This window comes from Homo sapiens, chromosome 12 (assembly GCF_000001405.40).
Source record: "Homo sapiens chromosome 12, GRCh38.p14 Primary Assembly".
In the NCBI taxonomy this organism is placed as follows: Eukaryota; Metazoa; Chordata; class Mammalia; order Primates; family Hominidae; genus Homo; species Homo sapiens.
In genome coordinates this window covers 112,812,913-112,835,660 of record NC_000012.12, presented here as the reverse complement: position 1 = coordinate 112,835,660, position 22,748 = coordinate 112,812,913, and the positions used below count along the sequence as shown (strand labels likewise).

Sequence of the window (22,748 nt, the reverse complement as noted above, 5' to 3'; positions counted from 1 at the left end):
CATTAGTTCACCACCACTGCAGCAGACTAGATAGCATGTGTGATGACTGTAATTCACCCATTAGCATTTATTGGAAAATAATTTTAATATCTGAAGAAGAGGCAGCAGCAATCAAGCAGCCAGATGCATTCAGAATGCCAAGATGTTTCATGGGAGCCGAGGAACACTTTAATGAAATGGCGTCCAGACTGTTTGGATAATTTTAATTTAATTGTAAGGCAAATTGTTTGGCTTCATATCGACTAAAGTAAACTCTGATGGATGGAATTTTAATTAACTGACATTTCTTAAATAAAATAAATATTTTACCCCATCCACCCTTCAGGCAACTGTTTATCTTACAGAGACACACTTTTTGGCTGAGGAAATATTCTCTGTAAAATAAGTTTGGCTGCAAGAAGACATCATGAAAAGGGCTTTGGAAACTAGCAATTTCCTATGAAAAAAGGAAACGAACAGAGTTCAATAGTGTCTTCAAAACTGTAAAACTTGTAGAACTGGAGGAGGTATTAGATAGAAGAAGTAGTAAACAGACATGAGACATTTGCTGTGGAGTATATGGGTGGACTAAATATTCAGAAAGACCCTTCACCAATATAAAATTAGATCCTAGAAAAATTAAAGCAAACTTTAAAAAAAATGCAGCTCTGGGATTTCTAGAAAGTAAGGAAATTCTCCAAGATCCCTCTCCCTTTCTAAACAAATAAACCAAATAGATTGAATTAAAATAAAAACTTTTTCTCTTCAAAAGACTCTGTTATGGAAAAGGAAAGTAACAGACTTGGAGAGAGTATTTGTAACATGTATATCCACAAGGGATTTTATCTATAACATAAGAAAACTTGTAAAACTTAATAACAAGAAGATGAATTACCTGATTTTAAAAATGGACAAAAGATTTGAAAAGATACTTCAACAAAAAGTTACACGAATGAAAAAATTTTATATTAGTATGTCTAACATCATTAATTATTAGGGAAATGCAAATTAAAACCACAATGAAATACCACTATACACACATCAAGAAGGTTAAAATTAAGAAGACTGATCATACCAAGTGCTGCTGAGGTGGTAGGGAAGCTGGAACTCTCATCTACTTCTGGTGGAAATTTTAAATGATACAGTAAACTTGAAAAACAGTTTGACAGTTTCTTAAAAGTTAAACCGGCATCCACCATGTGACTGAAACACTCCACTCTTAGGTAATTACCCCAAAGAAATGAAAGTATGTGTCTATACAAAGTTTTATTTGTACTAGCCCAAACCCATGGTCCATCAACGGATAAATGAGTAAATGAACTGTGGCATATTCACATAATGGAATAATATTCAGAAATTAAAAGAAACAAACTATTGATATACAAAACAATATGATTGGATCTCAAAATAATTACACTGAGTGAAAGACAGACAGCTCCCTTGTAAAAAGGGTACACACTGGATGATTCCATTTATATGAAATTCCAGAAAATGCAAACAAATTTATTGCTAAATAGTGATGACTTAGGGATGGGTGGGGAGAGGGAGGGGTAAGAAGGAGGAACTATAAAGGGTAACAAAGAAGTTTTGGCAATGGATGGATATGTCCATTATCTTGATTACTGTGATGATTTCATGGGTATACACATGTTTTTATGGCTGATGGTGGCTCATGCCATTAATTCCAGCATTTTGGGAGGCCAGGGCTGGAGGATCACTGGAGGCCAGGAGTTTGGAACCAGCCTGGGCAACATAGCAAGACCTCATCTCTATTTAAAAAAAAACTTATCCAGGTGCAGTAATGTGCACCCACAGTCCCAGGTTCTCAGGAAGCCAAGATGGGAGGATTGTTTGAGCCTGGGCGGTCAAAGCTAAAGTGAGCTATGGTTGTGCTATTGCACTCCGGCCTATGTGACACAGTGAGACACTGTCTTTAAAAAAAAAAAAAAAACATGAAATTATCAAACTGTGCTTTAAATTACCCTAATTGTGTACTGTTGAAGGTATATTAATTCTACCTCTGTAAAGCAATTTTTAAAAAAGGGAATCCAGCAAACTGAATCCAGAACAGGGAGCTGTGAGCAATAAACCACTGCAAATACCAACATTACATTCCAGGGGGCTAAAGTGTTTCTGGATGACCAGAACATCTCACTCCTGGCAGAAGCAAGTGTAAATATCTCTGAAGAAAAATGTTCCCAAGGTAGGTCCCTAGGATTCTCACAGACTGAGCATTCAAAGCGCAAGTAATTATGAATGAAAATCTGCAAGAAAGACAAATAAAAGACCTACATGGTCAGAGGCTTCAGGCAGTGCTGTGCTGGTAAATGTTTAACAACTGACTCTCTGGGGAAAGAGCCCCATGGAGGCTGATTTCAAATGCCAACATGATGGGACTAAACGAAGAGCTGGGAAGAAATGTACAGCAGCATACCTTTATATAGTATTTCCACCTTACAGGCATAATAGACATAAATAACAGAGAATATCAAAATGTAGTAAAACAGGTCAGGTGCAGTGGCTCACACCTGTAATCCCAGCACTTTGGGAGGCCGAGGTGGGCAGATCACCTGAGGTCAGGAGTTCAAGACCAGCCTGGCCAACATGGTGAAACCCCATTTGGAGGCTGAGGCAAAAGAATCGCTTGAACCTGGGAGGCGAAGGTTGCAGCGAGCCAAGATTGTGCCACTGCACTCCAGCCTAGGCAAAAGAGCAAGACTCGGTCTCAAAAAAAAAAAAAAAAAGAGTGAAATAATTGAAATGTGTTTAACTTTGAGTATTTATCACCATTGTGTGTAATATCATTTAACTATAAATATAACTTTATTTATTCATTTCAGAGAAAGGGTCTCTCTCTGTTACCCAAGCTGGAGTGTGGTGGCATAATCATAGCTCACTGCAACCTTGAACTCCTGGGTTCAAGCAATTCTCCTGCTTCAGCGTCCTGAGTAGCTGAGAACACAGGCATGCACCACAACATCCAGCTAATTTTTTTAATTTGTTGCAGAGATGGAGTCTCACTGTGTTGGCCAGGCTGGTCTCGAACTCCTGGCCTTAAGTGATACTCCTGCCTTGGCCTCCCAAATTGCTGTGATTATAGGTGTGAGCCACAGTTCCTGGCTAATATATATCTTAATTTTTAATAATGGCCATGTTTATTAACTGGCTCACAAATCCTGAAAATTTAACATCCATTCTAATGAGATTTTATGGTACATATCCAGCATGCCACTGATTCAGGTATAATTATTGGATACAGAATGTGAAGTTACTATATGTGAAATATTTAAGAAATAAAATTTGGATTGAAAACAAGCAAGAGGCAAGAGATTAAAAATGGTGAAGAAGATATTAAAATGAATGAATAATTTTTAGAAATAAAATATGTAACTACTAAATTCTAAAATGCAATGGGTGGTTTAATGGCAAATTAATATGCTCTAAGACAGAGTATAGCCAGGATGAAAGACGTGAAGAAATTACCCAAAATACAGCACAGAGGTAAAGAGATATAAAATACGAAGGAGAGAACAGACAGAGCAAGACCCCAACTCAAAGAAAAAAGTGAGAGAGAGAATAAGCAACATGGAGGTCTAATATTTATCTAATCAGATTCCAGATAGGGAAAATAGGGAGAATCGAAGAAAGAAAAATATTTCAAGAGATAATGCTGAGAATTTTCTAGAACTAGAAAATTTCTAGAATTTTCATGCTGAAAAACATGAATCCACTGTTTCAGGAAGTACAACATGCACCAAGTAGAAAAAAGCAATAAGAAATACACACTTAAGCACATCATACTACAGAACATCAAAAAGAAGGGCTTACGTGGAAGGAAAAACCATCTACAGAGGAAGGGCAATTTGTTGGCTTAAGACTCTTAACAGACACTTGAAAGCACAACCAATCCTTCAAAGTCCACCTAGAATGCTGCAACCTTCAAGAACAAGGGATAAATCAATGTTTTAAGATACACACAGTCTGAGAGAGCTTACCAACAGAATTTTACCAAATGAAAAGCTGTACTTCAGGAAGAAGTAAAGTGGCCCCAAGAAGCACCAAGATTCAGGAAGATTTGAACATTGAACCAAAAAACTAGAAGACAGGCAAATTAAAAAAAAAAAGCCAGTATAAAATAATAATGTCTAATATATGGAGTTAAATAAAGGATTAAACTAAGATACTAGAGAAGAGTCGTATGTAGGTAAGGAGGGTCGGAATTAAGATGTCGTTAAGAGTGTTTTAATCACCTTGTGTTGTCTAGAGGAAGATGTTGAGACAGTGAGTAACTCCAGACATGATTAGTTATGAATAGTAACACTTTAAGGATAGCCATGGATATCATAGGAATGAACCATATGACTGAAACCAATAAGGAGAAAAATGGAATTTGTAAACCCCCAAGCCCAATTAACCAATTAATAAAAATAAAAGACAAGGAGAGAAACAAAAGAACCATAGAAAAAGAGAGACAAAAACAAGAGAGTAGAAAAGTTAAACTATGTAATGGATCGGCAAACTATAGCCTACAGGCCAAATACAGTCAGCCGCCTGTTTTTATGTAAAAAAAAAAAAAAATGCCATGCCCACTTATGTGCATATTGCCTATGGCTGATTTTGCTCTAGAACAGTGAAAGTGGAGTAGTTGCAATGGAGACTTTATGGCCAGAAAAGCCTGAAATATTTACTATTTGGTCCTTTACAGAAAGAGTTTGCTGATAATTACAGTATCTGTAAATGGTAAAATCATCACCTAAAAGACAAAGATTACCACACTGAATTAAACAACAACAAAAGAAACAAAATCTGGCTAAAAATACCCTTTATACTCGCTTACCTGAAACGTAAGAGGACTAAAAGATTAAAAATAAAATGATAAAAAAAAAACTAAAGAAAGCTGATGTTGTTTTTTAATATCACAAAAGGGAGTTTAGGACAAAAAATCATTATTAGAGATAAAGAGAGACATTACATAATGATAAAAGGTTCAATTTTTCAGTAACATAGATCAACTCCAAACCTGTAGCCATCTCACAGAACCACAAGGGGAAATTGACAGATCCATGGTGATTGAAGGAGATTTCAACATAATACAAGCAGAATAAAAAGCAGTAAATGTAAAAAAAGTTATAAACACAATTAATAATCTCATTTTGATATGTGAGTGACCTTACAAACAATAATTATAGAATGCACATTTTTCTTATGTACTCATTGAGCATATCCTAAGATCTGGTTATAAGCCAAATCTTAACACATTTCAAAGACTAAGTATCATATAGGTCATATTCTCCAACCAAAATGCCATTAAATTTGAGATTAATAACAAAAAAAGTAATAAATTAAGAATCCTCAAACATCTAGAAATTTTTAAATATACCTCCAAATCACTCTTGGGGTAAAGTAGAAATCATAAGAGAAATTTTAAAATACATAGAAATGAGAAACAATGAAAATACTATATGTTGAAGCTTGTGGGATCATTTGAATGTGGTACTTTGGGTATCACATTTATAATTACTAATATTAGAAAAGAGGGAAGTTTTATATTAAAGAGGTAAATATACAACCCAAGTATTTAGAAAGTTATAGAATACACTTAAGAAAATGAGAAAGGATTATTTAATAGAAATTATAACAAAAATTAATCAGACAGTAAATGACAGGGTGATATTAAATAATAAGAAAGGCATTCCCATTTCAATCTCCTTTCCAACCTTATGTACTTCAAGGAGAAAGTGCTCATATGACTTTAACACTTGTCTTTCACTTGCTAGTTGCCTTTTTAAGTGGGAAGCAAGTCTCAGGCTCAGAGCCTCTATGAGGCTACAGTTTATAGCTAGAATGTAGTAACTTTTTTTTAATTATTTGTCTTCATGGCTACCTTTGTTCATAGAAAGCATGAACTAATTATCCACTTACATCCATTTGTGATTTAAAAAGTTCTTGTTAAATGAGTGTTTACATTTTATAAGTAGCCAATTAAGAGAAAATAACAATAATGTTATTTCATAGATAAGGTAAAAATAGTAAAAGTGGTGCTCAAATGACCAAGTTTAGGGAAACACTGCTCTCCAATAAGGAAAAATTTTTGCTAAAAAGCCTTTGTAGGCTGGGGGTGGTGGCTTACACCTGTAATCCCAGCACTTTGGGAGGCCAAGGCAGGAGGATCACTTGAGCCCAGGAGTTTGAGATTAGCCTGGTCAACATAGCAAGACCCTATCTCTACAAAAAGAAATTAAAGTTAGCCAGGCGTGGTGGTGCATGCCTGTAGTCCAAGCTACTCAGGAGGCTGAGACAAGAGGATTGCTTGAGCCCAGGAGGTCAAGGCAATGAGTTATGATTGCACCAGTACGCTTCAGCCTGGGCAAAGGAGCAAGACCCTGTCTCAAGAAAAAAAAAGAAAAAAAAAAAGCCTTTCTCTTTGGGCAAGCCACAACAACTACATCCTGACATTTATTCTTTTTACAAAAATAACCGTATCCTCAACTGTCCTACCCAGAATTTAAACTCTTAAACTGATCCTAAAATACCGTCTAATATAAGATCGACAGAAGTTCACAGTTAAGGAAACTTAGAGGTCATCTGTTCCAGGAAAACCAACTGGGATGGGTGGGTAACAGAAATGCCCAAAGTAGGCCAGGTATTAGAGACCAACAAGGAATGATGGGGACAGTGGAAAACTGGAGAGCTCTTGCCAGTCTAAATATATGAGCTGCTACTTGTCTTCTGTTGAACTGTTGGCAAAATTGTAGTCCAGTGTTGTCAGGTCTTCTGATATTTTGAAGACATGTCAGAAATCTGGACTTTCGTGTGAAATCTCCCAATTTTTACATGATCAGTCCCAAAATATAAAAAAAGAAAAAAACCTACACATACACTTCTGCAAGTCAGAGTCTGCCAGTTTGTAATCTCTGATCTAGTGCAACTTCCTTATTTGACCGATGAGGTAACTAGGGCCCCGAGAGGGGAAGATATTTGCCTATCATCACACAGTAAATTAGCTCATATCCAGAACTAGAACCCAAGTCTGGTTCTGACCACCAGGTCAGTTATCTCTCCAGTCTACCAGGTCACCTATTCTATGGAGCATGAAACTCAGGATTTAATCTTGTTCCTCCAACCTCGCAAAATAGTCAAACTAGGGGAGATGTTTTCATGACTAAACTCCCATTAGGTTCCTCTCCCCCTTCCTCAGGGAAGGAAGCTATTCCTTCTTTTTTTCAAGTGTAGAATTGTCAAAACCTCATCGACTCAAAACAAGCCACTCCCAGGAAGATGCAGCAACTTACTTTGATTGAAGGGGCCGGTCACTGGGGTACATCCAACGGTTAGAACTGTTGCTGAACACGGTGTCAGTCATAGTAGATGTCTAGTGCTCCTGGAAAACATCAATCCAGAGAGGACATCACCCCATCATTCAGCCACTCCTTAGTTCCCAAATCCCTGCTTTATGCCACACACCCAGTGGGATAGAGAAGACAGAGAACTAAATCCAGTTTCTTCATTTTCCAGATGGGGAGTCTGAGACCCTAAGAGGGAAAGTGTCTTGCTGGAAGTCACAGCTACCCCGTGGCAAGAAATGCACCAGAGGGAAGAACCCCCTCACCTAAATCCAAGCTCTTCCCATTCACTGTTGAGGGAATGTTGAGGGAAGCCTACTGCACCCCCAGCAGTGTGTGGGCCAGAGTTCTTAACTCGAATCCAGGGTCTTTCTACTGAGCAAGTCATCTGACTTAGTTGTTGTGGAGTCATCCCTGCCTTTTTTTTTTCCCTTTTTTTTTTATTATACTTAAGTTCCGGGATACATATGCAGAACGTGCAGGTTTGTTACATAGGTATACATGTGCCATAGTGGTTTGCTGCACCCATCAACCCATCATCTACATTAGGTATTCCTTCTAATGCTCTCCCTCCCCTGGCCCCCCACCCCAGGATAGGCCCCGGTGTGTGATGTTCCCTTTCCTGTGTCCATGTGTCCCTGCCTTTTTTAAAAAAAAATACTCTACATCCAAGCTATCAGAAAATGGTATTGTCTTGATCTTTAAAATAGATTTAGGATCTGCCTACTCCTTTCAGCCTGCATTGCTACTATGCTGATCCAAACTGCCACTATCCCTGCCTGACTTAATGCAATTGACTCCTCCTTGGTCTTTCTCCATCTACCCTTGTCCTATTTCATTCATTATTCATAATAACCACAAAGTAGAAACAGCCCAGTATTCACCAACTGATGAGAAGATCAACAAAATGTGGTATATCCATGTAGCATTATTCTGCCATAAAAACAGATGAAGTATTGACATACGCTATGACATAGGTGAACCTCGAAAACATGATGCTAACTGAAAGAAGCCAGACACAAAACACCATATATTTTGAGATTCCACCTATATAAAGTATACAGAATAGGAAAATCTATAAAAGATAAAAATGAGATTAGTGGTTGCCCAGGCTGGGGGAGGTGCTGGGGTGCAGCGTTTCTTTGTAAGGACAGTGAAAATATTCTAAAGTTGATGATGGTGATGGATCCACAACTCTGTGAGAATACTAAAAGCCACGGAATTGTCCACTTTAAATGGGTGAATTATATTATCTGTGAGTTATATCTCAATAAAGCTGAAAAAAATGGTGTCACCACTTTGGAACACTGTTTGGCAGTATCTGTTAGCTAAAAGTCCATCTACTCTGTGGCTCAGGAATTCTACTCAGGTATATACCTGAGAAATATGCTCAGGTATACACCCAAGAAAAAAGTGCTTATGTTCTAAGACATGTACAAGAATGTTTATAGCAGCTTTATTCATAATAGCTTAACACAGGAACAATCCAAATGCCTATCAACAGAGAGCAGATAAAGCCATTGTGGTTTATTTGTACAGTGGAATGCTGGTGAGCAATGACAGACAAGCTTCTGATACAGCGCATGTAACACCATGGATGAACCCATAGATGTTATGTTTAGTGAAAGATGCCAGGAACAAAAGAGAACACACTGTTTGATTATATTGACACAAGAGTTAAGAAAAGACAAAGCTATTTGGTAGTGACAGAAATTGGGGCAAATAAATTGCTTACTTTGGGGAGGCTATTGATTCAGAAGGGGCAGAAGGGGGCCTCCATGGGGTGAAGATATTCCATATCTTGATCTGGGTGGCCACTAACCAGGTATATACATCTGCAAAGGCCATCAAGCTAAACTCTTGAGATGTGTGTACTTTATGGCCTTCCCTTCATCCCGAAAAAGCAAGTCAGTTATGTCACTCTTTTGCTCAAGAGTCTTCAATGGCTCCCTGTTGCTCCTAGACTAAAATCTAAACCCCTTAGCACACGCTGGCTCCCTGCAGCCTCCTTCTCTTTTCCTTCCACTCTTCTCACGCCCTCTTTCCCAGCCCCAAAGGCCTTCCTGCTGCTCCCTCAACATCCCCAGCACATTCCCACTTGCTCTTCCCTCAGCCCGGAAGCCTTCTTGCAGATGCCTGTCTGGCTCTCTCTATCCCTTCGTGTAGGTTTATTCCTAAATGCACCTCGTCCAAGAGGGCCTCCCTGACCGCTCAGTTTAAAACAGCTCCCACAGCGGGGTCGGTGTAGGGAGAGCTTCAGGATAAATAGCTAATGCATGCAGGGCTTAATACCTAGGTGATGAGCTGATGGGTGCAACACACTACCATATGGCACACGTTTACCTGAGTGACAGACCTGCACATCCTGCACATGTACCCTAGAAGTTAAAATAAAATATGTATTTTTTAGAAAAAGAAAATGACCTAAATAAATAAATAAATAAAATAGTTCCTCCTCCCGCTTCTCCATTCTGGCCTCCTTTACTCTGATTTAGTTTTCCTCCTAGCTCTTATCACTACCCCAATTTAATATAAGTTGTTTATTTTTATGTTTGTGTCTTTGCTTAGAGCTTGAATCCCCCTGCTAACATGTAAGCCGTGCGGAACTTTTTCCGTTTTGTTCACTGCTTAATCTCCAACACTAGCATAGAGTCTGGCGCCTAGAAGGTACGTAATGAAAATTTGCTGAATGTGTGAAAGAGTCTCCATCAACACTGTCAGTGCGGCTCAACTCAGCCAGGCTTCCGTTCTTTCTGAACCTGCCCCCGACCCCACCCCTCTGAAGGTCCCACCAAGAGTAAGGGGGGGAGAGACCACGTGGAGATTGCAGTAATTATTTTAAAAACAAATAGAAAGTAGATTGGCGTGTCTAGGGGGTCCTGATTTCCCTGTAGGTCTTGTTTCCTGTGACGCTGAATAGATAACTTGGGAGGTGAACACACAGTGACCTCCCTCTCCTGTCCTGTATCCTTTGTAATTATTCAATCTTTGTGTGTGAGAAACCGGAGGGGAATGCTGGTTGGACCCGTAGCAGAGAAGATCCCTTACAGTAAAGCTATTTCATCTGCTCCCATGTGGTTAACATCATCTTCCCAGATTAATATGGGCATTTCATTGTTTCTACTTCAAAAACAGAAAGGAGAGACAGCTCCTGTTGTGAAAGAAATTTGCTGAAAAAGAACTTTAATGTCTCATTATTGCCTGTGGTGAGAGCTGAGCAGGCTTCCCTGGAGCCCCCCACCTGGAGGACCTCTGGCCCCTGCTGAGTGCAAAGAGGCTCAGTCCCCGAGAATGAGCTTCCTCGGCTGCAGTTGGTCTAGAAAGCTGAAACTGTAACTGAAGGTTTCATCTTCTGCTTTGCAGCAGAGAGAAGACACTGGCCTTGGAGATCCTGGGAGGAAGGTAGGTCTGGGATAAAGGAGACACATGATCACCTCCCAGGAACTCTGATCTCCAAATTCCATCATCCTCAGGGCAGAATCTGGCCTGCTCGCACTCTCCTTTGTTCAGTCACGCACACCAGGGGTATGTTTCCCACTAAAATTCCACCTGCAAAGTCTAAACTCCCTGGCTGACCACCCAGTGGAAACCACCCAGCTCCATCCCTCCAGGCCAGAAGCCACCCTGGACAGCCCTGGTTATTTCAGCTTGGCCACTTGGGACTCTCAATGCACTTAACATCCCAGGATTGGACTCTTTATCTGGTGCTTACCCCAGTCTACCAGGCCTGGACCAGAAGAGGAAAATGTTCAAGCAATCAAGGATATTTGAACAACTAGAGAAACAGGCCCAGGGACAGGAAGGCATGTGTCCACCGGCAGATCTGGGATGGAGGTGGAGATGCAGTTGGGGGGAGGCACCCTAATAGTCACTGTTGATTCCTCATCTGGATCCCCCCTACAGCTGGTGCATCCTCCCAATCCCAGCCTCTAGGAGTGTTAGCCATGAAGGGCTACACTAAGGGCTCATAGCAGCACCATTTTCCAGAGAATCGCCCTCATCCAACAGGAGCTGCTTTGCCCAGAGATACCAGGGAGCAGCACAAAGCCAATGGCTAATGAATAAGAGGAGGGTAGAAAAGTACAGCCCCCTTCTTCTAGGGCAAGACGGCTGTGTGCTGCCATCACACTCCAGAGCTCCCTGAGGATTGGGCTGAGGCCAGACTTCAGGTGAAGCCACGCCCTCGCCTAGCTTCCTCTGCTGCCCTTTCCTGCTTCCCTCATTCCCTAGCAGGTTCCTCCTTGGAGCACTCCCTGAGTCCATCACTAGTACAAGAATGCACATCTCAGGTTCTGCTTCTAGGGAACTTGACCTTGTGTGGGAGGAGACAGGAGAATCTCAGGGAAGCATGGTTCTGCTCCACGAGCTCATTACATCACCCCTAGTGGTCACTTAGCTGTTTTCTAATCCAACACAGCGTGATCCTAAAATGTTCTCCTAAGATGTTTTCCTACTGGCCTGCAGATGATACTTCATGAAAGCCAACTCTTCATGAGGAGTTGAGGGTGAGTCAACAGAAATGGAGAAAGTCTAGTGGTGAACCTCAGACATTCTCAAACCACTCCCCACTTTCCCATCACTCACTACAGAGAAACCATCGTCATAATAGACTGGAGGCCTGAGGCCCAGGGAGCACCAGAAGAAGGAAACCAACCATGGATACAAGAAGCAAAAGTATAAATGTAAGTGTCACATAAATAGTACCAAATTCCAGCCCTAGGACCACTGCAGAAACTTGGCATCACTGAGCTGATAAGTTTAAGTAAGCATCAGCTACACTCCCTAGCACACAGCAAAGACTTGTAAAGTGGTAATTCTCTTTTCCTGCTTCTCCTATACTTATCGGGTATAGGATGATGACTTACAATTTTCTGAGCACCTGCTATGCACCAAATTCCATACCTACATTATTTGCTTTACTCCTTACAATCCTACTCCAAGGTAGATGGTATTATCCTCATTTTACAGGTAAGAAAATTCAGGCTCAGGGTGGCTAAGCTACTTGCTCAAAATCATACAGCTACCAAGTAGCAGAACTGGGGTTTGGACCCTGACTCCAAAGCCCATGTGCTTACTCACTACTCTGTTCACACCCGTTCATTGCCCCTGGGCTTTGGATTGTTGGGTTCTGATAAGTGTCTAGAGGATTGGTGATTGTCCATTCCTGGCCCTCTGGCCCCTGGGTGCATTTTCACCTCTCAGCCTCAGAGACAAAGAGATACCTACCCACCCAGCCCTCTCCCAGGCTACACTGAGAGATCACATACTTTGGCTTGGGTAAGGCCAAGGCAGTGGCTTAAATCCAGCCCTGCAGCTGCAACTTCAAAAGCATAAAATGACTTCTTCTCCTGAAACCAGAGACTCCAGCTCTTCTTTCTTAGCTGGACAGAAATTCCCCTACAGTCCTTGTACAAACTCTAAAGAATCATCTACTTTCAGTAACAAAAGAAGCAACAACAACAACTGAAAGTTCAAATATCAAGGGCTTACTCCATGCTAAGCACCTTTCAAGTTTTATCTCCTCAATCCTCACAACAGCCTTATGAGGTATGTGCTCTTCTTGTCCCATTTTACAGATGGGATAACTGAGTTGAGGAAAGTTTAAGTGAACTTTCCAAGGTTCTGCTTAAATTCCTTCAAACAATCTAAACGTCTAATAATAAGCACTGGATAGCTGGATGAATCTGAATCTTAGACTGAATCTCAGACCTGGAATCTCAGACTGCTACAAAGACTCTGTCCTAACCCCAGGTAACCCAGATTCCAGGGTCCTCCCTTCTCCTCCTTTGCCATTGGTTCTGCCTGCTTCTCCCCTGGCTCTCCTTAGCATCGCTTGCTAAGGAACAGTGGTTCCATCCCCCAAAATCTCCAGGGTTTTCTGCTAGTTGTAGTTGAATGGAAAAAACAACGCAAAGCCTATTTAGTTTCTGAGTTGCTGTGGCAGGTGTCTGAACGTGACCCAGCGGGGCTGGGCTGGCAGGGATTTTATGCAGCACTTCAGGGCACTGCAGGGAACCGGCAGGAGCTGCAGCTGTCTGCGTGGAGTTCAATGCCACAGTTGGCCTCCCTATCCCAACAGTCTTGGAATTAAACCAGACGCTTTGCAGCAGAACCTGCAGCCACAAGTTTGGACAATGCCCAGACAGTTCCATCTCTTGATCTCTTTCCTTGCCCCTTGTCTCTTCCCCTGAGTGCAGTATATCACTGCTCAACTAGGTATCTGGAAAAAATCACTCTGACTATTTGATGGGGTGGAAAATGTACTTTAACAAAAGGGCCTCACATTGGGGGAAGCACGAGTGTCCATGAACAGAATCCAGGCTGAAAATGTTTTGTTTGGCCCATGAAGGGGTTTTTTTTTTTTTAAGGGTAAAATTCAATCAATATCTTAAAAGCGCAGGATTTAATTAAAAACACAGATTGCCAGCTTCTCTTGGGAAATTAGAAGAATTAAAAAATATTTATGGAACATTTACCATTACTATGTGCCAGACACTGTTCTAGGCACAGGGGATATAACATTAAAACAAACAAAGACAAAAATTATTGTCCTCATGGAACATACCTTCTAGTAGGGAAGACTGACAATAAGCAAACAAGTAGAATATTAAATGTGTCCACAGGTGATGAGTGCTTTAGAGAAAAATAAAAGAGGGAAGGATGATTGGGAACTTGGGGGGAAGTGTGATTTTAAATAGGTGGTCAGAGGGAGCCTCACTGAGAGATGCTATTTGAGCAAAGACCCAAAGTGGGTAATAAACTGAGCCACATGGCCATCTGGGGGAGAGCATTTCAGGCAGAGGAAAAAGTAAATGCAAAGGCCCTGGGGCAGGCATGTGCTTGGTAAGTTGGAGAAATGGTAAGGAAGACAGAGTGGTTGGAGTAAAGAGAGCAAGAGGGAGCTGAGATCAGAGTGGTGGTGGTGGGGGTGGGTGTCAGATCATGAAGACCATGTAAACTTCTGGCCTGAGAGATGCAGGAGACCCAGAAAGCCTCTGAACAGTGATGCAAGCTGAGTATATTCTATTCCATCTCAAATATGCATCCAGAGTTGACTATTTTCCAGGCTGTTGGGATTTCTACAAACCCTTACTATGACAAGGACACTTGGGACACCAAAGAGAAAGACGGCGACCTCCTGCTTTGTCTACTGTGCTTGATGGAGCCGAGTGCCCCTTCACTTGCCTGCCCGCCTGGTCATTCCTGCCTTCTCTCATGGGACTCCAGCAGCCCTTACACATCCAGTCCCGTCCAGACGGTACAGGCTGCTGTTGGCTTTTCCTTGTTCCTAGAGCCAGCTGGGACATTCTCAGCCTTCCCTGAAGCCGACTAAGGCTGAAACGACAAGAGCTTGGCTCCTTCCATGCCAATCTGGTTGGTGCCAGAGACAATGACAGAGACAGGCCTGGGAGGTCCTAGAGACAAAGGTGACTTTGTGTTCCTGGCCTTGAAACAACAAAGCAAACTCACTGTCCCCTCCATATGGTTCTCCCATTGCCACATAGCAATAACAGATGGTGCCTGCCATGAGCCTCTAAATAACCCCACAGGACAGTCCCCATTTCACAGATTTTAAAGTAGGCACAGAGTTCATCCTCCACTGCTCTGCCACTTACAAGCTGCATGGCCTTGGGCAGATACATAATGTCTGTGGGCCTGTTTCCTCATTGATAAAATGAGTATGGTCATCCCAGCACTACCTACTTCATCATAATGGCTGCTTAGGTTGTACCTGGGTCTGGACTAAATGCTTGCAGTGGATGGCTTCATTGAACTCTCCCAAACACCCATTAAGGAAGGTACAAGTATTATCTCCATTTTGCAGATGGAGATACCGAGGCTTAGAAGACTAAGTGACTTACCCACCCAGCCAGCGACCGGCAGATCTGGGATTTGTACCTACAGGATCTGATGCAATGTTGCATGTTTAATCACTCTACTATGCTGCCTCCAGGATTGTTGTGAAGAATGGGGTTTGAAAATGAAGGCAAGAAAGAAAACGTGGTACTTGGAACATAGTATGTGCTCAGTAAACATTAATTATTGTCACTATTATCAATATCTCCATCATCGTCCATCAGTGTTCGTTCTCTCCAGCAGCTAAAGTGGAGCATAACTTATATGATGTGATTGGAAAAGCACTAAATGCTTCCATAGATTTCACGGTGCTCCAAATTTCCTCCACCAGCATTGCTCCCTAAAGGTGTATTTGGTACCCTCTTTCTCCCCCAGCTCAGGAAATAGAGAGGTAAGCTCACTGCAGATGGGGTGAATTGATCACAAAAAATAGCCCCATGTCTTCCCTTTCTGTATCCTTGTCCTTTTCAGCTCCTACCATCCAGAGGTGAAATCTATTTCCCCACCCACGGAATCTGAATTGGCTCTAAGACTTTCTGTGGCCAACGGGACAGTAGAAGATGTGATGCATTCAGAGGCTTGGAAATACTAGCCCTTCAGAGCCTGGTCTCTTTTGCTATTTTTTTAGCAACCCTGCAATCACCATTTGAGAAACCAGGCTAGCCTGCTGGAGAATGAGCAATCATAAGGCAAGAGGCCACAGCTGTCCAAGCTGCTAAGGCTGTCCTGTCACACACCAGCCAGTCCCAGCCAAAATACAGGATGACCACAGACACACGAACAAGCCCAGCCAAGATCATCCAAGTTTGGCCTAGCTGAACCCAGCTGAACTCAACCCAATTGCCAACCCAGAGAATCATAAGGTAAATAAATGGTTGTTGTTCTAAGCCACTATTTTGTGGGGTGGTTTGTTACACAGCAAAAACTGGCTGGTGAAGCAGCCTCTTGCAGTGAGACAATTGCTGGCTTCAGACCCAGAGCACTGGGATCCAATCCTACCTCCCCTTTTTAGTCTCTGCATGACTCTAAGCAAGTTTTGCATCTGTAAAATGAGGATGTAAAAATTCCTATTCTTAATCAGGCACGGTGGCTCACACCTGTAATCCCAGCCTTGGGGAGGCTGAGGTGGGTGGCTCACTTGAAGCCAGGAGTTCGAGACCAGCCTTGCCAACGTGATGAAACCCTCTCTCTACTAAGAATACAAAAAAATTAGTTGGGCATGGTGGTGCATGCCTGTAATCCCAGCTACTCAAGAGGCTGAGGCACAAGAATCGCTTGAACCCAGGAGGTGGAGGTTGCAGTGAGCTGAGATCATGCCACTGCACTCCAGCCTGGGTGACAGAGTGAGAGTCCATCTCAAATATATATATATACACACACACACATATATATATCTCAAATATATATATATACACACATATATACATATCTCAAATATATATATATATATTCTTCTTATGCCTGTCTTGCAGGGTTGTTGAGAGGAACCAATGAGTTAATTCATGTGAAGGGGCCTTGTAATTTAAAGTGTTTTCCAAGTATCAGTCAGGGAGGACACTGTTAGTGTTATTTGAGGGCAGAGCTGGGGAGAGAAACAAAGGTCTAAATCCTAGGTGTTTGCTTAAGCCTGAGTGAGATACTGCAGTGGATCTCTAGGGTAGACATCTATTGCATTTGCCTACCCAGCATTTATCTGGATAGCCTTTTGTTGGTAAAGTCACCCCAATTTTCTTTTGGGAAAACATCCTCTCTCAGTATCAATCTGTGTGGTCCAGGTGGGGCTCATCCAACCCTAGTCCTTAGAGGTGGGCCAATGACCTGTGCCTGGCCCATCAGTGTATTACACCCCTTAGGCTGCTGTGATTGGTTCAAGGATAGGTACATGACCTGAGTTGGTCTTTTGCTGGAACTATGTGGAAAGAAGCATTCTCTTTCCATTGGGCTGCTAAACTGATAGAACAGAATTCTATAGCTGCTATTGATCACTTTTGCCAACACACAAGAAAAGCCTGGTAAAGGATAAAAGCTGGGAGATAGAGACTGATTCCTGATGATGCTGTTGGAATGCTGGATCCAGCCATGCCTGAATCTATCAATCTATCATAGCCTTTTGGGCTACTATGGACCAATATGTCCCCTCTCCACCCTTCTTTTTTTTTTTTTTTTTTTTTTTTATTCTTCTTGAGACAGAATCTCACTCTGTCGCCCAGGCTGGAGTGCAGTGGCGCGATCTCGGCTCACTGAAGCTCTGCCTCCCGGATTCTCGCCATTCTCCTGCCTCAGCCCCCCGAGTAGCTGGGACTACAGGCGCTCACCACTGTGCCCGGCTAATTTTTTGTATTTTTAGTAGAGACGGGGTTTCACCATGGTCTCGATCTCCTGACCTCGTGATCTGCCCGCCTCAGCCTCCCAGAGTGCTGGGATTACAGGCGTGAGCCACCATGCCCGGCCTTTTGTTCTTCTTAAGTTGAGAAGTCAAATTCAAGTCCAATTTGAATCAAATTCCTGCCATTTTCCTGAGTTTTCTCTGTGTATCTTCTGGGTGAGACCAAGCTACCTTGCAGCAAACAGGGATTCCAAAGACAACCAGAATTGACTGAAGCCTGGAGAAAAATACACCAGCCTTCAGCAACCCCCTTGAATCCTTCCCTCCTCTACCTCAGAGGCACTGCCATCCAAGCTCCTTGGAGGACAGAAAGTGTTTCTAATACATCCCCACTAAGGCCCGCTGAGACCTTACAACGACAATTAAAATTCAGTGACAATAAACAACACTAATTAAAAGCAAAACTAACTACTTAATAAGACAAATGAGGTGGCAGTATTAAAAGTCAGGATGAGAGAGCTGGCATTAATTAAAAGCAAAGACCAATTTCTTCCCTCCTCTAAAAAGGCTGCGTGTGCGGGGGGTGGGGGGTGCACACACACACACACGTGTGCATTTCTAGAAAAGATTTATATTTTGTAAATGTATAAAATTCCCTGGGAGCTGACAGACTGTGGGATTGGTTCTGCCTGGGGTGGGGGTGGGGGTGTCTTCCCAGAGAAGGGAACATTTGGGCTGGACCTTGAAGGCTGAGCTGGGGTGTGTGAGGATAAAGGATGGAGGAACGGATGGGGAAGTGAGTAAACAGGGTTCAGAGGCTGCAATGGACATGAAACATTTTGGGAATAGAAAGACCCATGGGGATGGATCCTGGGTAGATGGAAGACAGGGAGGAAGGGGAAACAGGGCTAAAAAGAGAAAGTGGGGCCAGGGCTGAATCCCTATTTCTGTGGATCAACAATGATAGTGCATAGCATCTCCACTCAGCCAACCCCAACTTCCATTTGAAGATCCAGAGACTAAGATCCCCTGCTCTTAGCAGACAGCTCAGCAAGGTGACTAAGGGTATGGGTTTGGGGTTCAAGTCCATTCTTCCATTTATGAGCCAGGTCACCTTGGGCAAGTTTACTTACCTTCCAACACCTCAGTTTCCTCATCTGTAGAGCAGGGACAAAAACAGAACCCACCTCAAAATGGAACTGTGAGGATTAAATGAAATCACTTATCTGAAGTCCTTAGTCCAGAGCCTGGCACAAAACATGCCGTTGTCAAGTAGAAGCTATCCTTAATTTATTATGAATAATAATCTCAGTTATGTTTTCCTAAGAGATGGGAGTCCAGTTTCTGCACTGGAATGAAATATCTCAGCCTTTCTGAAACCAGAGTAAGTACATGGAGGAAAACAATGATGGATTATGGAAATAACTACAATAGTAATACACTAATAATAATAATAATAATATAATTCTCAAGCGTGGGTCATTTGTTGAGTACCGTCGTTGTCTTTAGTGTTAATGACTTGTGTGGTGAGATTGGCCCTCCCTTTCCCTGGGGAAGCTGGGAGTGGCCACATGACCTGTTTCGACCAAAGAACGTTTCCAAGTGGAAGCTTCAAAGCCAGTGCATACTCACCACATTACCCTTTTCCTATCTGGACAATCATGTACATATGAAGATAGAGCCTTCCTCAGCCTGGGTCCCAGCTCTGAAGACATCCCCTGTTATCTCACCATATCCAAGTAGTATGAGTGAGAAACAAATCTGAAACTTTGGAAATGGTCAGCACAGCACAACCTAACCCAGCCTGCCTGTGTTTTCTATGGGCCAGAAGCTGCACCAAATGTTTCACATGCAACGTCTTATTTGATCTTGGTAATGATCGTAGAAAACAGGATCTTACATGACCCACTTTTACAGATGGGGAAACTGAAGCCTGGAGGGGTAAAGTCATTTGCTGGAAGACGTGCAGCCAGGAGGTCACAACAGAGCGTGCATTTGAAATGAGCCCACAGAAATAAATATAGTACATGACTCCACTGGAGGCAGGGCAGAGCATCCAGGATTGACCTTCCTGAGGCGAATGTCTCCTGCTGGATAGGGGAACCCAAAACTTTTCCTTCCTCCCCTGGGTTATGGGAGTCTCTGTGAGCCCTGTGTCTACAAAACCTTAACACCAGACATCGTTCAACAGAACACTCTTCAGGGCTCCCTGCATGGTCCAGCCAATTACCCAATTCCTTGATAAAGCGGAAACTTGCTTTTGTCATGCTGTTAACCTGGCTTATCTCTGCCCCAGCTACATTGTGGTAAGCAGGGAAAAGGCAAAGGCTCAGAATTGATTTCAGCACTCAACACATGCACACACAGACACACTGGCCCCACACAGAAAATGTGATTAGACAGGTCTCCATATTAAAACAAGTCATTTAGCTTAATGGCCCCTGGCTGCCACTCAGGCCCAGGCTGCAGTGAAATTCATTCTGATTAAAACTCAGCTGGAGTTGACTTATCTGCAGCTCTAAATCTCATCAAGCCACGGAAGACCACAAATGGCGTCCTGCTCCCTCCTCTGCCTCAGAGACAAAATGCTCACAGCAGAGAGGGGCATTTTTCTCCTTTAAAAAATGGCAGCAGTCCTGGTCCTCACATCTGAGGGGCATTTCACAAATTTTAGATGGGAGACATAGCATTCCCATTTTATAGGCCAGGAAATTGAGGCCAAGGTTTGTCAAGGTCATGCTGGTCCAGTGACTCAAATATGGGTCTCATATAAATGAGGCTCCTGACTCTCCTGCTCTATTATTTGTTGGGTTAAACATATTAATTTGCTATTTTTATAGTACAAAAATGGTTGCATAATGGCAGCGTCATGTGGTTCAACTTAATAATAAAGTAGCTTTGCTTGATAATTTCTATTTGCGCCTCCAGACCCATTCATCCTCCATCCTGCTCTGTGCCCTGGGAGGCTGACCCGTGTGTGAGCACCAGCAGGCTCCTGGCCCTCTGGCTTCTGGTTGGGTTTGTCCAATGGGAGGCACCAGCAGGAGACTGGAGGGAGGGAGGAGAGACAGGCTGGGGTATATTCTTCTGAAGGTCATAGCTTTTGTCAGGAGGACCTCTCCATCCGGCCCTTTCTCTCCCGCATCCACTTACATTGCCTCCCAGCCCCTCCAAGCCTAGAGACGTTAAGGACTTGCCCAGATAACACAGCTAATAAATGATGGCGCCACACTTGGAGTCCCAGCAGTGTGGCTCTAGAACATGTGTTCTTGGCCAGCTCACTATCCTGCCCTGAGTGTCAGCATTTCACAGGTCTGCAGAGGTGGGATGTAGTGTAGAAATGAACAGCACCAGTCTTCAGGTGGGCAATTTTCATATACAACCTCATTTGATCTTCACCACTATCCTGTGAGGTGGGCTCTGAAGTTATTCCCCTTTCTCACACTCAGAGGGGTGAATTAACTTGCCCAAGATCACCAGGAAGGAATGGTGGAGTCAGTGAGTTATAAACCCAGATGTTCTCCCTTTAATACCTGCAGTCTTAATCACTAGTCTAGATAACCACTCTTACAACCTGGCCACCCAGCCAGACCTGGAACCACTGAGTAGAAGGTCCAGTAAGAGAGAATCTGGCGTGAGATAAGAAACAGCTTTCTAACCATCAGCCCCATCAAAATGAAAACATGCTACTTTGATAGATAATAGGCTCCCCATCATTGGAGGTAATCAAGCACAAACAGCAAAACCACTTGTTGGGGCTGTCATAAAGAGGGTGATGAGCTTTCCTGAAACTACCCCTTTCTGTATTTGAAAAGGAATGGCTCAAGTTCACAGACTCTTCTCTCTTATATGTGGTTAAAATGCCCCACATATAGGGGGCATTTGACTTGGCCTGACCCTGTGATCAAGCAGGAAGAACTAGTTTCTGTTACATAACAGAAAGCTGAAGTATCCTGGCCTAAGATGGGCCAGGAAAGGGCTCTTCTTATCTTCTCACCTTGCTGCAAACACACGCACATACACACACTCACATCCCCACCCACACTCCACATCCTCCCCTACACACTCGTGCACACTCCCACATAAATATACCCCATACATACACACACACACACACACCCCACTCCCACATCCTAGTTTACTCCATACCCACCATACCCACTCTCCAACCACTCTCAACTCCACTATACACACACACACACACACACAATCATACAAACACAACACCCTCATTTCCACCCACAGTACACATTTCAACATACTATCTCCCATCAAGGGCAGTGAGCAACAGCCCAGGCTTTAGAGTTACACAGACCTGTGTTCAACCCCCAGCTAAGCTGTCTGAGCCTGGGCAAATTACTTAACTTTTCAGAGCCTCCGTTCCCTCAACTGTTACGTGGGGGATGTAGCAGCACCCACTTTTGTGGGTTTTTTTGAGGTTGCAGCAAAAAGTAACACAGAGAGCATCTAGTCCTGTACCAGCTCAGGCAAAACCCTCACTAGGCATTGTCCAGGTGTTCTTCCAGAACCGCACCTCTCCCGAATCACATTTTAGCACAGTCTCTAGTCACAGGAAGTACGCTTTCTGCCTCACACAGTCCAGCTGTGTTCACTTCCCTGGGGTGTGGATTTTAAGAAATCCAAGGCCACTTCAGAAACAGTGAAAAGCTTCTCTTAGTTCTCATGAACAATAAATCTTCAAGGCCTGCCTCTATCTATTCCCCCCTCCTTTCCAGGCACCAGGTGGGGTAAAGAAACAGAAAATAAAACCTTGGCCAGTATTGGCTGGAGAACATGAATGGACCACAATCTTCCTCTTCTCCTCTTCTTGCCCCTGTGAACACAACCCTCAAAACATCAAGTACTGTAGATGGAGAACTCTGCAATTTACAAAGCCCTTGGTCTCCCCAATCACCCAGGCAGGCGGGTGTTATGACTCAAATCACTGGAGGCAAAAGAGTGCAGAGGCTGAGAGGTGCTGAGCTGTCAAGATTCAAGTCCCCACTCTGCCTCTTTCTAGTTGTGTGATGTTAAGATGGTTACTTAACCTCTCTATGCCTTTCTTTCCTTCTAAGAAAAACAAGGATGATAACAGCACCTATCTTACAGGGATGTTAAAGGATTAAATGAGTTAGTACTTGTAAAGTGCTTAGAACAATGCCTGGCACATGGTTAAATAAAGAGGATGAAGTCACCCTTGTGGTCATCTCCAGATATCAAGTCTGCCAAATAGAGCTATAATG

General features: G+C 42.9%; 1 protein-coding gene across 9 annotated transcripts in view; it reads right to left on the bottom strand.

Moving 5' to 3' along the window:
- RPH3A (rabphilin 3A) overlaps positions 1 to 22,748 on the bottom strand; it is a 323,646-nt gene that overhangs the window by 63,221 nt on the left and 237,677 nt on the right. For 8 of the 9 annotated variants that reach the window (NR_145127.2, NR_145126.2, NM_001347952.2 and 5 more), the window contains exon 3: positions 7,272 to 7,360. The exons of the other annotated variant lie outside the window; for it this stretch is intronic. Coding sequence is in view for 6 of the 8 variants with exons in the window: in NM_001347952.2 (NP_001334881.1) it covers positions 7,272 to 7,342 (71 nt within the window). In the remaining 2 variants the exon portion in view is untranslated. The remainder of the gene's footprint in view (positions 1 to 7,271; positions 7,361 to 22,748) is intronic. 9 annotated transcript variants of the gene reach the window in all.